This window comes from Homo sapiens, chromosome 5 (assembly GCF_000001405.40).
Source record: "Homo sapiens chromosome 5, GRCh38.p14 Primary Assembly".
Classification (NCBI taxonomy): domain Eukaryota; kingdom Metazoa; phylum Chordata; class Mammalia; order Primates; family Hominidae; genus Homo; species Homo sapiens.
Window position 1 is genome coordinate 159,932,042 of NC_000005.10, and position 16,991 is coordinate 159,949,032.

The 16,991-nt window shown below is 42.5% G+C and overlaps 1 protein-coding gene and 1 long non-coding RNA gene across 9 annotated transcripts in view; one reads left to right on the forward strand and one right to left on the reverse strand.

Moving 5' to 3' along the window:
* ADRA1B (adrenoceptor alpha 1B) overlaps positions 1-16,991 on the forward strand; it is a 124,120-nt gene that overhangs the window by 66,956 nt on the left and 40,173 nt on the right. For 2 of the 7 annotated variants that reach the window (XM_011534437.3, XM_005265818.4), the window contains one exon: positions 15,649-16,795. The exons of the other annotated variants lie outside the window; for them this stretch is intronic. In XM_011534437.3, coding sequence (XP_011532739.1) covers positions 15,649-15,800 — 152 coding nt within the window. In that variant the 3' untranslated portion in view covers positions 15,801-16,795. Of the gene's footprint in view, positions 1-15,648; positions 16,796-16,991 lie in introns of those variants that run through there. 7 annotated transcript variants of the gene reach the window in all.
* On the reverse strand, positions 4,585-5,739 carry LOC101927790 (uncharacterized). Of its 2 annotated transcripts, none has more exons than XR_007059023.1 (3): positions 5,608-5,739; positions 4,812-4,969; positions 4,585-4,662 (listed from the first exon to the last, which is right to left on the reverse strand). It is a non-coding gene; the product is annotated as an uncharacterized LOC101927790 (long non-coding RNA). The 2 variants fall into 2 exon arrangements; XR_007059024.1 differs by lacking the exon at positions 5,608-5,739 and adding an exon at positions 5,327-5,382.

The following is a 16,991-nucleotide window of genomic DNA, read 5'->3' on the forward strand; positions in this document are numbered from 1 at the left end:
CACAAGTTGGATCACCCAGTGCTTTTTTCACTGATCAGCAAGTCATCCTGACTGACTTCTTATCATATCGATGAAACTGAGTCTTTTCATTTTTTTGTTTTTCCTTTTTTTCTTTTCTTTTTTGTTTTTAAAGACGGAGTATCACTCTGTCACCCAGGCTGGAGTGCAGTGGCACAATCATAGCTCACTGCAGTCTTGAACTCTTGGACCCAAGCGATCCTCCCCTTACTTCATCCTCCCAAGTAGCAGGGACCACAGGTGTGCACCACCACACCCAGCTAATTTGTAAATTTTTCTGTCGAGATGGGGTCTCCTCATGTTGCCCAGGCTGGTCTCAAACTTCTGGCTTCAAGCGATCATCCTGCCTCAGCCTCCCAAAGTGCTGGGATTACAAGCATGAGCCACCCCGCTCAGCCTTTCCCATCTTTTTAATGCTGCACTGAATTCCATAATAGAAGGTATCGTAATATACTTAACCAATCCAGTTATGTAAACAAGCCATTTACACCAATAGATAAGACACACACAAGGTATCACTTTACAAGGTACAAATGTGGAGTGAAAAGTCTGTCTCTCTCACTTCCTTGGCCCCAGTCATCCAATTCCCCTCCATGGAGGCAACCACTATTAACAGTTTCTTATATATCCTTCCAGATATGTTCTATGCATATATAAATATATTTATATGATATTTTTAATGGAAATAACTTAAACACTATTCCTCATTTTGCTTTTTTCACTGGACAATGTATCTTGAAGGTCTTTCAATTTCAGTGGAAATTCCATTTCCAAATAGAGTAGCTTCATTCTTAGTAGCTCCATAGCATTTCTTTTTTTCAGATAGATCTCCATGGAAAGACATTGTAGGTTATTTTAAATTTTTGTTACTACAAAACAATATTTTTATACATCACCAATTTCCACATGAGTAAATATATCTGTAAAATTTTGTAAGTGGACCATTCTGAGTAAATGTTTTCATGTTTATAAATATTACCAGATTGTCTTATGTAGAGATTATATCAATTTGCATTTCAATAACTGACATTTGAGGGTGCCCACACATTCACTAAGAGCTGTTATCAAACTTCTGGATCTTTGCCAACTTAACAGGTGGAATTTTTGTGAATGAGGTTAAGCATCTTTTCATATGTTTAAAATAATCCATTCCCTCTTGATGTGCAATATGTTTTCAGTTTTTAGCTGTGATAAATACTCTGTTACACACATTCTTTTCCTTAATATCTTTAGGGCACTTGCTTTTTAGGATTTCACTGGGATAAAGTCCACTTTGAATGGTTAGATGAAAAGGCAGACTCCCGGGAAAGGCCTCAGATGTATATTGTCAAATTACTCTCTGGGAAGGGTGTAGCAATTTGCACATCCACAAAGTCTGTTTCAACATTGATGAAGAAGCCAGTTTTTATGCTGATAGCGTCTCACTGCCTGAGGCACAAGAAGTTTCAGGCATCTACGTTGACTTCCTCCTGAGGTGATAAGATGTCTTGAAAGCTTCAAATCCTTGCAGCTAATTTGGTGTCAGTTTTCCAGAGTTCAGGGCTAGCTAGCTGCCCTGTTGGGATGCAACACCCATCCATCAGAGGAGCCAGAGGAGACAACAGCCTCAGAATGTGTGTATTTTATCCAGGAGCTAAGAAAAAAAAGCAGTCAGCCACAGCGTATAAACAGATTTGATCTTTCACACGTGGTGGGCCTGGCAGCCCACATCAGTGGTTTGAGGCTCCAGGACTGACGTCCCAATTTAAAACCATAACAAAATAAAAGAAAACACTGTTGCCATCCCCAGGAAAACAATCCAGTTGGAGGCACTCAAAGGATGAGTTAATAAGGAAGGATTCCTCTAGGCATCCAAGCTCACCCCTACCCCACCGTGGGGGCCTGTGTGGATTGAGGGAATGCAGTAGACAGCGTATATTTAGATCAGGGCATGGCAAATGCACCACATTTTAGTTGCAAAATTCGGATTGGCCCTGGAAGATGCCAGACTCACGAATTGAAAACTCAATTGAGCACCACTCAAGAAGCAAGGAGCTGGCTGCTTGAGCAGATTCTGCCAGGGAAGGAGCCCTTTTGAGAGGGAGCCAATGGGCCCTGGTCAGTCAGAGGCATAATTTAATCCTACCCTTGAACTACTGATCTAGAGGGAGAAGCTGGGTTATCTTTAAACTGTACTAAATCTAGAGGTGTTGGAACCAGCAACTAGGACAAGGCAGGGGCTGGGTGAACTTTGACCCACTTGCCACAGGGTTGGGAATGGCACTAAGCCAGAAGCCTGGGCTCACCAAGTGATTCCCAGAATCTGACCAGGAAAGCCCTTCCTGTCACCTGCCTCTGTCACCGCCTTCCCACCCCCTCGTCTTGAGGAAGACGGCTGGCACCTTCTCTTCTCTGAGACACCCTTGTTAGCTCTTCAAGACTCCTGCTTGAGTTGCTGTACTAGAAGGAATAGGGACTTGAAGGCCAGGTGGTGGCTCACTCCTATACTCCCAGCAAGCACTTTGGGAGTCCGAGGCGGGCGGATCACTTGAGGTCAGGAGTTTGAGACCAGCCTGGCCAACATGGTGAAACCCCGTCTGTACTAAAAATACAAAAATTAGCCCGGTATGGTGGCAGGCACCTGTAATCCCATCCACTTAGGAGGCTGAGGTAGGAGAATCCATCGCCTGAACCCAGGAGGTGGAGGGTGGAGGTTGCAGTAAGCGCCGAGATTGCACCACTGCACTCCAGTCTGGGAGACAGAGCCAGACTCCATCTCAAAAAAAAAAAAAAACAGGGACGCTGAAATCTGACATATCTGTCTGGCTCTGCTGCTCAGCTTGCTAAGCCTCAGTTAACTCATCTGTAAAACGACACCAAAATCATCAACCTCAAAGAATTGTAGTGAGGAATAAACAAGAAACGGATGAAAGGGACTCAGCTGGGTGCAAAACACTAGTAAATATTTCATAAACGTCAGCTATTAATATACACGAAGCCTCTAATCTGGCATCCACTTCAGAGGAGATATTTAAGTACCTGTTAATATTATGATCATGACAAATTCGATGAATGGGCTATGTGTTTTGAGGAAACAAAAATGAGATGGGTTCCTTCTCACTGAATAGTCGGGAAAATTGTCTGTTAAAAAAGGGCAAAAGAGTAAAAAGCTAAAGTTTTTTTAGAGTGCCAGGTATGATGTTCACATGGTCAAAAATATCAGATGACTTTACCTAACATTTACGGTCATGTTTCTTTCTTTTTAAAATTGTTTCAATATTTAGATTTGTGATATTTCAGTCATTCCAAAAAGTACAAAAGTAATTTGGGACACCCATGAGTCTTCCATCCAAATTTAACATGTTGCTGAATTTGCTATACATCTTCTTTTAAGAAATAAAAATGTTACAAATATATATAAAAGGCGCCCCACCCCTCATCTCATTCACCTCTCTCCTTCCCAAAGGCAATTACCACAATGTCTGTGATCGAATGGACTTTCTTCTATACAATTTTTTTTTCTTTTGAGATAGGGTCTCGCTCTGTCACCCAGGCTGGAGAACCGTGGCGCAATCTCGGCTCACTGCAATCTCCACCTCCTGGGTTCAAGCCATTCTCAGGCCTCGGCCTCCCTAGCAGCTGGGATTACAGGCATGCACCACCACACCTAGCTAATTTTTGTATTTTTAGTAGAGACAGGGTTTCGCCATGTTGGCCAGGCTGGTCTCCAACTCCTGATCTCAAGTGATCCGCTCGCCTCAGCCTCCCACAGTGCTGGGATTACAGGCGTGAGCCACCGCACCTAGCCTCTTCTATACATTCTTAAATGTATACTCTTAAGAAGCAAAAATAGTGGTCGAGACTGAGGCTCTGGATTGTCAGTCCTGGGTTCAAACTCCACTCCTGCTTCTTTACTACCTGTGTGGCTTTCAGCAAATTGCTCAACTCTCTGATCCTCTTTTCTCCCATCTCTAAAATAAACAAATAACAGCTAATTTTGTTGGGTGTTGCAAAGATGAAATAAGACTCTTCATGTAAATCAGTAGTTCTCAACCAACAGCAATTTTTCCCCAGGGGACGTTTAGCAATGTCAGGAGACATTTTTTATTGTCACACTGGGGGTGCTACTGGCATTAACTGGGAGAGGCCAGGTATGCTGCCAAACATCCTACAATGCAAAGGAGATCTCCCACAACAAAGAATTACCCAACCCAACATGTCAATCATTGTTGAAGTGGAGAAAACCTGACATCAAGCATTCTGTCACTTTATAAGGGCTCAATGAACATTTGTTCAGTAAACACAATAACATAAATTATTATAATTTGTTCTTTGAAAGACATTGTGTTAAACAATTTTACATAAATTATCTCACTGGTATCCAGTGAGTTGCACCTTCTTGATGAAAAGAATGATGGACAGCAAGCACTGTTTTTTCTGCATGTCTGAGGATGTCTATACCATTTGTTAAATCAAAATGATAAGCCTATTAATAATGTAAACTTTCAGACTGATAGATTAATTGGAAGTTGTTACTTGGAGCCTATCTTCTCTTTGCTCTCCGTGAAAAACAAATTGTATCAGTGCTTTTAGCCAAAAATTAGTTTATTCAAACCACAAAAAAAAAAATCCCTTCAACCTAAGCAGGCCCAGGAACTGGCGTGGCTGTAAATAAATAAATAAGGCATCAAAATTAAGAGAATATTTTTGGCCCCTGTTCACAAGGACTGGCTCTCAAGGACTCAGGAAGCCACAGAGGCAGGGTAGAAAATGGGAAAGAGGAAAACAGCCAGAGCTCTGCTTCTCTGACTCACCCCAGGCTCAGGTGGACTTGGAACACTCTGTCCTGGAGCTGCTGACTGTGTTGTCAGAGAGCATCCACTGTGAGTGGCCTTATCCAGCGGGTCTTCAAGTGGGGTCCTCAGCGCAGCAGCATTGACATCACCCAGAAACTTGTTATAGATGACAAATCCTAGATCCCACCGCAGAACAACTGAATCAGAAACTGGAGGTGCAACCCAAGCAGTCTGGGTTTTCCCAAGCCCTCTGGGTACTACTGATGCATACTTAAGTTTAAGAACCACCAGCCTAATAAGAACAGACCTGAAGTTCCCTGTATGTGTATTTCCTGTTTTCCCACTATAGCCATGAAGCACTCCAACACCAGCTCAGATGTGGAGGAATCCCTGCTCGCTGGCACTTGCCTGGTGTCAGATGCTTGGCACATATTCCATAACTCCCAGCAGATTATGAGGAAGTTGCTATTATCTCCTTTCCCGATGAGAAAAACACAGCTTAGGGAGTTTAAACAACTTGCCCAGGGTCATACCTGCACAAAAAGGCTGGAACCAGGATATGTGAATCTCAGTCGGCCTCATGCCAGATCCTAGCCTCTCTTTTGTTTTTTTGTTTTTTTTTTTTGAGACAGAGTCTCAGGAGTCTCACCATGTTGCTCAGGCTGGAGTGCAATGGTGCGAGCTCGGTTCACTGCAACTTCTGCCTGCCAGTTTCAAGCAATTCTCCTGCCTCAGCCTCCCGAGTACCTGGGACTACAGGCGCGCACCACGTGCCCGGCTAATTTTTTGCATTTTAGTAGAGACGGGGTCTCACCGTGTTGGCCAAGCTAGTCTCGAACTCCTGACCTCGTGATCCTCCCACGTCGGCCTCCCAAAATGCTGGGATTACAGGGGTGAGCCACCATGCCTGGCCCAGATCCTAGTCTCTTAATGATGACATCATACTATGACATCACACTGCCCATTGAGGATGAAAAGAAACAGAACAAAAGAGATCAGCACTGCTCAGGCCAAGTTGTGAGCCCTGTCAAGTTTGTCTTTAGTGACCCATAGTCACTGGTCCTGGGGTTTGCCTGGCCTCAGGCAATCCTCTGAAGTTGTTAACCCCCCAGGTCATGACACTGCCCCACTGGAGGCCAAAGCTTCCCACACCTCAGTGCTCTCCTAGGCTTTTCCTCTTACTAGCTGTGTGATTTTGAAGCTGACTCTTCTCTTCTTATTATCAGTGATAATAATACATTCATATCAAGGTTGTTAAAAGAATTAAATGAGATAATATATGTGAACATATCTAGCCCAGTGACTGTTGCACAGCAGAAACGAATTAACTCTTGGTTTTCTTTCATCCTCCTCTACACACCAGCAACTATCAAAACTCCATCCAGAATCCATTCTGTTGAAGTATCTTGTATTGACCAATTAGCTAATATGATGAGCTAATCCTCAGGTGTTAATTCATAATAATGGTTTTCTGCATTTGCCTCCAAAATGACATCTGCATTTCAACCAGGGGCCCTTATCCTCAAAGTCTTCCAACCATGGAGTGATTAATGATGGAAACGTTAGGGAATATGGAAGACCACTGGGGAGAGATTTCCTAGCCTTTCTCCACCCCACATATCACTCCAATATCAAATCATTAGCGTAAGTGGATGGGGAATCCCAGAGAATGGGTAATGAGACTAGAACAGAAAATATGCCTTCAAGGCTGCACCTGGCTTCAAAGAGGAAAAATGAACTACAGGCATCTGAATCTCAGGATAGATGTGAACAATGCAAAAAAAGAAGTGAAATCAAAGACTAATGGGTCATTTGCCAGCATTTAATACAATTGCTTAGGATTTGCATAGTTGAATGTAATAAAGCTTCATTGAAAAGTAGTTATAACAACTAATAAGACCCTAATTAAATTAGCTTTCACTGGGCAAGCTGCTTGCGAGGTCCTAATTAGGTTATTTGCGGCCATTGGCCTAGCCTGAAAACCAAAGAAGACTCTTAAGTCCTCAGCGATGCCTAGAAAATCCAGTCTCTGGCCTTATGCAGGAAATGCTAAGAGACTCTATCTAAATTTGGGGGCAGCCAGTCCGAAACTATCTTAGCTTTCCAAAAGTCACAGTATGTGGCCAGAGTGAAATCCCTTAATAGGTCCCACCACTCTTAGGAATCAGACAATTTTAAAGATGGAAAGGGCATGTAAAGGTGGAAATGCCAAGAATTTCATTTTACAGATAAGAAAACTGAAGCCATGTGAGAAGCGATTAGTCCAAGGTCCCTCAGCAAGGGGCAGTGTCCCCAGCCCCTCCAGTCTTCTTCCACTGTGATCTGGAATAAACATAGAACTCAGAGCTACTGGTTTTCATTTGAGAAGGAAGAGGGAAACAAAGAGTGCTGGATTCTCAGAGGCTCCTTTCTTTGAAGGAGAGAGAGAGAGAGAGAGAGAGAGAGTGTGTGTGTGTGTGTGTGTGTGTGTGTGTGTGTGTGTGTGTGTGCGCGCGCGCGCGCACACAATGCACTGAGGATAGTTCAGCCCAAGGTAAATTGCTGACCTGCTTACAAATTGTCTTTGCAAAGATCTTCCTAGAGCACAGATCTGCTCAAGCTGGTACCCTGCTGAATTACCCCAGGGTGACTTCTGAACTTCTGAGTGTGACAGAAAAGACTCTTCACAATTGGAATCTAACCTACCCCATCTCCCAAGATAGGGCTTTGTGCTCAAACAGATCAGAATCTCAGCCCTGTCCCTCACTAGCTGTGCAACCTCAGGCAAGTTACTTAAGTTCTCTCAGCTCTCATTTTTTCTGCCTGTAAGACAGAGATGACATTTTACTTACCTCGTTGGGGTGATAAGAGAATTAATAGCCAGTAAGGCAGGCAATCACACGTGGCCCCTGCTGTTGCTCCTCCAGCCACACAGGAGCAGTCTCCCTTCCCTGAACACACCTGGCTCTATCATGCCCCAAGCCTTTGCCAGTGCAATTCCCTCTGCCTGTAACACCCTTCCTTCTCTCCTGTGCACTGTGAGTTCCTCCAGCTCAAATTTAATGTCTCCTTTGCCATCTTCCACGATTCCCCAGGCAGTGGCTACTGTCTCTCTTGTGCGATCTCTGTCCTCACTCCATGCCCATCAGAGCCTTGTCACACTGGGCTTCTTGATGTCCATCTCTCCCGGGAGACTGGGTCTCACCTAGCATGGGCCTGGCACAGGGACAACTCAGTAAGTGAATGAAATCTGATCAGAGCTGTGAAGAGGAACTGTGAGGGTGGAAAAAGATCGATTCCAATGTCACTTCTGCTCTTCTACCAAAGCTGAAATATAGTTGAATTCTGTGTGTACTGGCAAAGACTTTGCTTGACCAAACTTTAGTCTAGCTCCTGAATCTTCTTCTAGACTTATCTGTGCACTTCTTTGTAAAACCCAGTTTTAGGAAGAACCATGGTGAGTCAGTTCAGAAAGAACCACCCACATCGATATCTAATCAACCTCAATATCTAATCACTCTCAATATCTGATCAGGCCTCTTATCCTCCAGTATCCCCCCTCCAAGTGACATGTGATTACCCTGGCCTGCCTTCAGCAAGAACCCTGTTAGTTCGGTTTAGCCAGAATCACCCTTACTCCTGATGTTTTCTCTTAGTAATTTTCCATCCACTGCCCCCAACCCTGCTCCTTGGCCATAAATTCCCTCTTGCTTATTCTATATTCATAGTTGAGCCCAGTTTGTCTCCCCCACTGCACAGCCCATTGCAGTAGTTCCTATACCTGTCTCAATGGTTCTAAATAAAGTCTTCTTTACTGTGCTTTAAGAAGGATCATTAAATAACATTTTCTTTAACAGTATATATACACACACACAAATGCATACACACACATGCATATACACACACTTACACATACACACACACTCCCCCTCAAGATTTTAGCAGCAATTATCTGTGGTAGTTTTTATTTTCTTTTCCTGCTTCTCTGTAGTGAGCATGAATTGCTCTTGTACAAAGAAACAAAACAATACAAAGACAGTTCTTTAAACTGGTGAGCTAAAAGGAGATACATGAAATGCCAGCTTTCCAAGCATAACTCTGCAAAAGTTGGGAGTTACCTGAATTTCAATGTGGTACAATTCTGATTTAACGCATCACAATCTCTGAATTTCTTCTCTGTGTTGTCTGTGACAAGAGCTAACTTGGAGTTGCAAGGTGCATCCTAGAAGGTGGATCACTTCTCCGATAACTTTATGGGGACCTCTTGGGTACTGTCAGTCTTTACACACAGGAGAGAATAAGTACTGTGCTATCAGATACAGTAGCCACTGGACACATGAGTGTAATCATATTTAAATTAATTAAAATTAAAAATGCAGTTCCTTGGCCACAGGAGTCACCTTGCAAGTGTTAAACAGCTACGTGTGGCTAGTGACTGCCATATTGGACTGCACAGATTTAGAACGTTTTCATCATCACAGAAAGTTCTGCTGGACAGTGCTGAGGTGTTTTTCAGCTTGTTCCAAATATGGCTGAGATGTCTCAAGAATAAACACATCCATTTGGCCCACGAACATGTTCTTCCTTGTTCTTGTTCTAAAAACTCACATTTATGGCAATGTAGAAGGGCACAGCCACTTTGAAAAACAGTTTGGTAGTTCCTCAAAAGTTAAACAAAGGGTTGCCTAATGACCCAGCAGTCCGACTCCTAGTATACACAGGAGAGAATTGGAAACATGTCCTCACACAAAAACTTGCACACAGATGTTCACAGCAGCATTATTCATAATGGCCGAAAGAAGGAAATAACTCAAATGTCCATCTGCTGAAGAACAGATATGCAAAATGTGGTATATCCATACAATGGAATGTTATTTGGCCAAAGAAAAGAGAACAAAGTATGGACACATGCTACCACACAGATGAACCTTGAAACCGATACGCTAAGGGAAAGAAGCCAAACACAAAAGTTCACATTTTGTCATATAATTCTATTAAAACAAAATGTCCAAAATAGGCAAATGCACAGAGAGAGAAAGTAGATGAGTGTTCGCAGAGACTGAGGAGAAGGGGAAATGAGATGACTGCTAATGGGTACTGGGTTTCTTTTTTTTTTTTTTTTTTTTTGAGACAGAGTCTCGCTCTGTCACCCAGGCTAGAGTGCAGTGGCGCGATCTTGGCTCACTGCAAGCTCCAACTCCCAGGTTGACATCATTCTACTGCCTCAGCCTCCCGAGTAGTTGGGACTACAGGTGCCCGCCACCACGCCCAGCTAATTTTTTGTATTTTTAGTAGAGATGGGGTTTCACGGTGTTAGCCAGGATGGTCTTGATCTCCTGACCTCGTGATCCGCCCGCCTCGGCCTCCCAAAGTGCTGGGATTACAGGCGTGAGCCGCCATGGCCGGCCGGGTACTGGGTTTTTTTAGGGGGTGATGAAATTGTCCTGTAATTAGATAGTGGGGTTGGTGTACAACTTTGTGAATTACTAAAAACCGCTAAATTGTACACTTAAAAGGGTAAATTTATGGTATGGGAATTATATAGCTCAATATGACTTTTTGTAAAAAAAGTACTGTTCTAATTGGGAAACAACCTAAAAGTCTATCCGTAAGCAGGTAAGGAAATAAACTCTCACACATTCATACAGTGGACTGTGATACAGCAGTTAGAAGGAATGAATTAGATCTGGATACTAATTAAGAAAGATCTTTAAGATAAATTGTTGGCTGGCCACACCTGTAATCCCACCACTCTGGGAGGCTAAGGCGGGAGGAACACTTGAGCCCAGGAGTTCCAGAGCAGCCTGGGCAACACAGTGAGACCCTCATCTCTACAAACACACAAAAAAGACAAATTGTTGGGGGGAGAAACAAGTTTCAGAGCATTGCATATAGTATGAAATGTTACATTTTTTAAATCCCAAATATTCTATTTTCTATGAGTATGTGTATGGAAATACATAGAAAAAAACTGGAAGGTAATACACCAAAAAGATGAAAATAGTTCCCCATAAAGTAGGGATACGAAATTAGGGATGGTAGTCAAAAAAAATTGTTCTTAATTTTTAAAAGAAAAAGTATTCATTTATTACATGTGTAATTAATAATTTGTAATGCTTTCTTTATTAAAATAAAAACATAAATTAGATCATCTTTGGGAGGCCAAGGTGGGAGGATCACCTGAGGTCAGGAGTTCGAGACCAGTCTGGCCAACATGGTGAAACCCCGTCTCTACTAAAAATACAAAAATTAGCCGGGCATGGTGGCGTGCACTTGTATTCTCAGCTACTCGGGAGGCTGAGGCAGGAGAATCACTTGAACTCAAGAGGCGGAGGTTGCAGTGAGGCGAGATTGCGCCACTGTACTCCCGCCTGGGTGACAGAGCAAGACTCTGTCTCAGAAAAAAAAAAACAATGAAAAATGAAAAATAAAAATAAATAAATTAGATCATTTCAGTGGAGGATAAAGAGAAATATAATACAGAACAAGTTTCAATATTATAAACTACCTAACTATAATGAGGTACTTTTTCTGTTTGTAAATCGAGCTCTCATATTCTCCCAGAGAAACAAACTTACCTCTTAAACTTTGCTTAGCTCTGAACTCTCTAGGGCTGAAAGTAAACCCACGGGGCCAGTTCCTCTAGTTTAAGACCCTGATGAAAGAATGCCACACATGAATGTCCCTAACTCCACAGCTCCAACCTGATTAAAGATCGTTAGTCTAATGACTTCCACCCTGTGTAACCCGTCAGCATCTCTCCCTAACCAGATCTATCTAGGTAAAGCCTCGAAATTCTTTTATGCTTGCTGTAGGCTGAGCCTCCACTGAGATGATTGAGAATACTGTGTGTGACCTACTTAGGGGATTTCAGGGGTTGGGGAGAGAAAGAGATTTGCTTTTCATTTGATTTTTTCCCAATCTTTTCTTCCTCAGATCATAGGAAGAAAAGATAAAATTTTAAAGGAACACGATGAAACATTTTCTCATTTTGTAATTAAAATTTTGTGATGATTTCCTTCCAATCAGTATATTGTTACCTGGGTGACTGACTGACTACCACAATTGGCTCTCATTCTCTCTCTCTCTCTGTCTCTCTCACACACACACACACACACACACACACAAACACACACACACACACATTCTCACTCCCCAGTTTTATTCTTCTTGGTTCTCTCTTCCTTTAAAACCAATACCTCTTTACCATTCAATGAGGTACCTTACCCAAGATTTGCTCATTTATTTGTATCACATCTTACAGAGACCATTTTCACCTTTACGAACTCAGATTCTTAAAGTGGCAGGCCCTGTTTCCTTCTGAACCTTTCATGCAGAGTTTTTTTTGTTTTTTAACAAAACTCTTCTAAAGATACCAATTTACTCAGGATGCCCCAGGAACAAATGGCCCCATTTGTCACAGTGGAGAGCCGTGGCTATCAGCTTTCTCGCTGGCCACTGGCTCCTGGCCAGAGTGTCGTGCTCCTGTGCTTTCATTTATTACCTGTCTGACCATGGTGCAGTGTCCTGCAGGCTACTCATTATTCTAGATACAAATTCCATCTGCAGTGCCTTTTAAAGAATGATCTGAAGTAGCACAAGATCTCTGTTAATCAGTTAATTATTGTACATCACACAGAGAAAGGCTAACACTTAGCCAAAGAAACATCAGAATGATGCTGTGAAACCTGGTCTCTCGACAGGCTGTGTTACCATTTTGTCAAAGGGCCACTAATAAAAGATGATTGCTTGCTCATGATGAATGAATGAGAGAAACTAACAATGCCTTACAATTAGCACCCAGGGAACACAGCCACCATTTACCATGTGCCAGGCACTGTGCTAAGTGCCTCATATATGTTACCTCCTTCAATCTTTACAACAACCCTGGGGGAGATGGGGGGTTGGGGGAGAAGCTTGTTATTAGCCTAAATTTACAGATATGGAAATTGAAATTCAGACAGTGAGAGGCTTGTAAAGATCACACAGCCAGATATCTATTAAGTACCTTCCCTGTCTCGAGTACTCTTCAAGGCACTGCAGATACAAGAGTGAAAAAAACAGGCAAAGCCACTGCCTCCATGAAGCTTACAGTCCTGAGGGGTGGGCATGGACAAATCGTACATATAAATAAGCATGTGATATCAGATAATTGCAGGTACTATAGAGGAAATATGGAGTGGTGTGCTAGAGAGGAGCAGGGTGGTGATGATCAAGAAAAAGCATAAGCTCAACCTGAGGAAGCTGATCGAAAAAGAAAATAATTAATTTTAAGAAAAAAGAGGGCCGGGTGCGGTGGCTCACGCCTATAATCCCTGCACTTTGGGAGGTCAAGACGATCACTTGAGGTCAGGAATTTGAGAGCAGTCTGGCCAACGTGGTGAAACCCTGTCTCCACCAAAAATACAAAAATTAACCAGGCACAGTGGCACGAAGGCTGAGGTGGGACAATTGCTTCAACCCGGGAGGTGGAGGTTGCAGTGAGCCCAGATTGCGCCATTGCACTCCAGCCTGGGCAACAGAGTAAGACTCTGTCTAAAAAATTAATAAATAAATAAAAATAAGGAAAGAAAAAAGAGAGAAAGCTGCTCGTTGAGATCATGGGCTGAAACTTGAGTGACTAGAAGGAGCCAGCCCTGCAGGAATCTGGGGGAAAGCATTCCAGGCAGCAAGGACAGTAAATGCAAAGACCCTGAGATAGGAATGCATTTGACATGAGTGACATGGAAAATGGCAGCCAGAGTGCTGGACTGCACAGAAGCAGGAGGAGAGAGGTGGCAGATGATGTCAGACAGGAAGGAAGCATGTATATCCTGTGAGGCCTTGTAGGTCATGATAGAAAGGTTAGCATTTTCTCTAAATGCTATTGAAAATCATGGGGGGGTTTTGGAAAGGGAAATAATGTAATCCGATTTCTGGTGGGTTTTTTTGTTTGTTTGTTTTTTTTTTTTTGAGACGGAGTCTTGCTCTGTTGCCCAGGCTGGAGTGCAGTGGCGCGATCTCGGCTCACTGCAAGCTCCGCCTCCCGGGTTGACGCCATTCTCCTGCCTCAGCCTCCCAAGTAGCTGGGACTACAGGCGCCCGCCACCATGCCTGGCTAATTTTTTGTATTTTTAGTAGAGATGGGGTTTCACCATGTTAGCCAGGATGGTCTTGATCTTCTGACCTCCTGATCCGCCCACCTCGGCCTCCCAAAGTGCTGGGATTACAGGCGTGAGCCACCGCGCCCAGCCCGATTTCTGTTTTTAAAGACTTCATTGGGTAAGTGGAGGATGGATTGTAGAGGCTTAAGGGTAGAGACAGGGAAGTCAGTTGTGAGGCTGAGGCCGTGGTCCAGAAGAGATGATGGTAACTTTCGATTGCATTCTGTTCTTACCTATAAAAATCTAGACCATCCAGGAAAAAGCCTGATCCGGGATTTACAGAGAATTCCCTGGTAAATTGACATGAGGCTTCTCCAGGATTTATCCCACCTCATGCTGAATGCATACAAACTGTGTGACACTTATTTCTCTTTAAATAAACTTTTTATTGAAGTATGACATGCATACAGAAAAGAGCACCAATCAGAAGGGATGGCCGTGTCAATATTCACAAAATGAACACATCCCGGTAAGCAGCACCAAAATAAGAAAGAAAAGATTACCAGTACCCGCAAAGCCTCCCCATTTCTCCTTCCAGTCCATCTCTGGCATTCCAAGTGTGTGTCTGTCACATGTTTTGCCAGAATGACGTGCTGTAAATCCATATTCTCAGTCTTGCTTATCTCATGACCTCTTTTTCTAAACCAAAAGTTGCATGCCTTCTGCAATCAGAGATTTCTGATACCACCAGCCACGATGATTTGAATTTTGTATTCTGTGATGTATATTATGAAAACAATTAAAATTATAGTATAATATTGAATATGCTTAGATTCTATTGTTCCCTCTCTTAAGAATCAGAGCTCATACATAAACATGGCATAGATTCTGGAAAGCCTGCAGGTTACCTTGTCTAGAATCATCTGGAATCCAATGGCACAGAGTGTAGGACCACGACACATGAGTTTGCAGCATAGAACAAAGACATGATTTCAGGGCTTTGTCCAGAAGACAAGACACTGGTGGAGAACTAATATTGACTGAGCACTTATGATGTCCCTAGCAGTGAGCTAGGTGTTTCAGTACGTTATCTTATTTAATCTTCACAACCCTTTGAGGATGGCATAATTGTTTCCATTGTACAAATAAGAGAACCATAGTTAGCTGGGTGCGGTGGCTCACATCTGTAATCCCAGCACTTTGGGAGGCCGAGGTGGGCAGATCACCTGAGGTCAGGAGTTCAAGACCAGCCTGGCCAACATGGCGAAACCCTATCTCTACTAAATAATAGAAAAATTAGCGAGGTGTGGTGTGGATGCCTGTAATCCCAGCTAGTCCAGAGGCTGAGGCAGGGAGAATTGCTTGAACCTGAGAGGCAGAGGTTGCAATGATACAAGATCGCACCACCGCACTCTAGCCTGGGCAACAGAGCGAAACTCCATCTTAAAAAAAAAAGAAAAGAAAAGAAAACCATGGCTCAGAAAGGTAAAATAATTGACCCAAGTTCTCAGGGCTCATAAGTGGCAGAGCTGAGCTTGCAACTAGCTCTGTCTGCCACCAAATCCCATGCTTATTTCACTCAACCAATGCAGCCTCTATAGCATTTTTTTTCATTTGATCTGCATGAAATAGATTGAAGTATTGGCCTCAATACTTGGTTGTTGCAATAAGCCTCATTTCTTTTAATGGTTTCCCTTTTACATTCTTTTTTTCAATACACTGGCTTTCAAATTAACGCTAAAGCTATTCATAAATGAAATGGGGGACCTGGCTATGACTTTGCTTCTTTCCAGAAAGCAAAGGCTCTTTAAGCTTGAAGACGTTGAATGCTTGCTGTAAATCCAGGAAAGAAATGAATGAGCACAATTTAAATCTCTCCAGCCTAGAGTCTGGCCACGTGAGGGACACGGGAGCTACATTGCATCACCATATTATCCGTTATTGAGAAAGGAGCCAGCAATTAGCACAAAAATTTAGCTTAACCACGTTAACATCTCTGGGAGAGGGATTCACATTCTCTGGCTTTCTGCAAGCTCTTCCAAGCTCCAGCTGTCCCTGGATTCTTTGGCTTTGCGTCATGAAGGGAATTGATTTGATCAATTACATTGCTGCTGTCTAATTAGTAAGCATGGCCACACTGGCCCATCGGTTTCACAGAGATTAAACTTGGAATCCTGACTGCAGACCGATTTTCATAGCTGAAAGTCTCTGTACCTTCATCCTCAATCCATACCAGTTCCCTGGAGTTAATCATAACAGGACTTTGACCCAGGGCTGGAGGCATGTTCTCTAAGTCCAGACAACAGGGCTTCTGGAGTCCTCCTGCATTACAGCACAGATTATTTTGTGAAAGCTCCGCAGGTTAAGAAGCTGGACCTTTTCACACATGCTATGCACTGCCCTTCAAAGCACTTTATGCTCACCCTTTCATTTGAGTTTCCTGGTATCTCAACAAGGAAAGAAAATATAACTCTCATTTCAACATGAAGAAAGGAACCTTCACAAAAATGATGATTCAAAGCCACAAAGCGTTTTTCAACAGAAATCAGTCATCATGTTTTCAAAAAGTAACTTTTACTGGGTTAGTTAACGTTTTATTACAAGAAGTTATATGCGTGTTTTCATTGTAGAAAATTTAAAAGAATCAGAAAAACAAAAAAAGATAGTAAAAAGCCACCCCTTAAACATAACCACTGAAATGTTGAAAACATATTTATTCAGCCATTTTTCTATGGCATATCAAATGTACTATTTTGTAACCTGTTCTTTGTCTCTTGACGTATTATGAACACGTTTCTAATCATATTCACTTAGTTAATTTTTACTGGTTGAATTGTATGTGTCATTAAGCCAGTCACTTATGTTGAATATTTGGGGTTGTTTCCAATTTTTAGTTATGATAAATAATGTGCCAATAAAATCCTTATATCTAAATAATAATAACATTTATTGAGTATTTATTTTGTCTCAGATACTGTACTAAGTGTTTTACATGTATTATCTCATTTAACCCTTCCAAGAACCCTATGGATAAATAATATTATCTCCATTTTATAGATGAGGGAACTGAGTCCTAGAGAGAGGTTAAGTAACTTACCCACAGTGACATAGATAATAAGTAGTGATGTTAAAATTT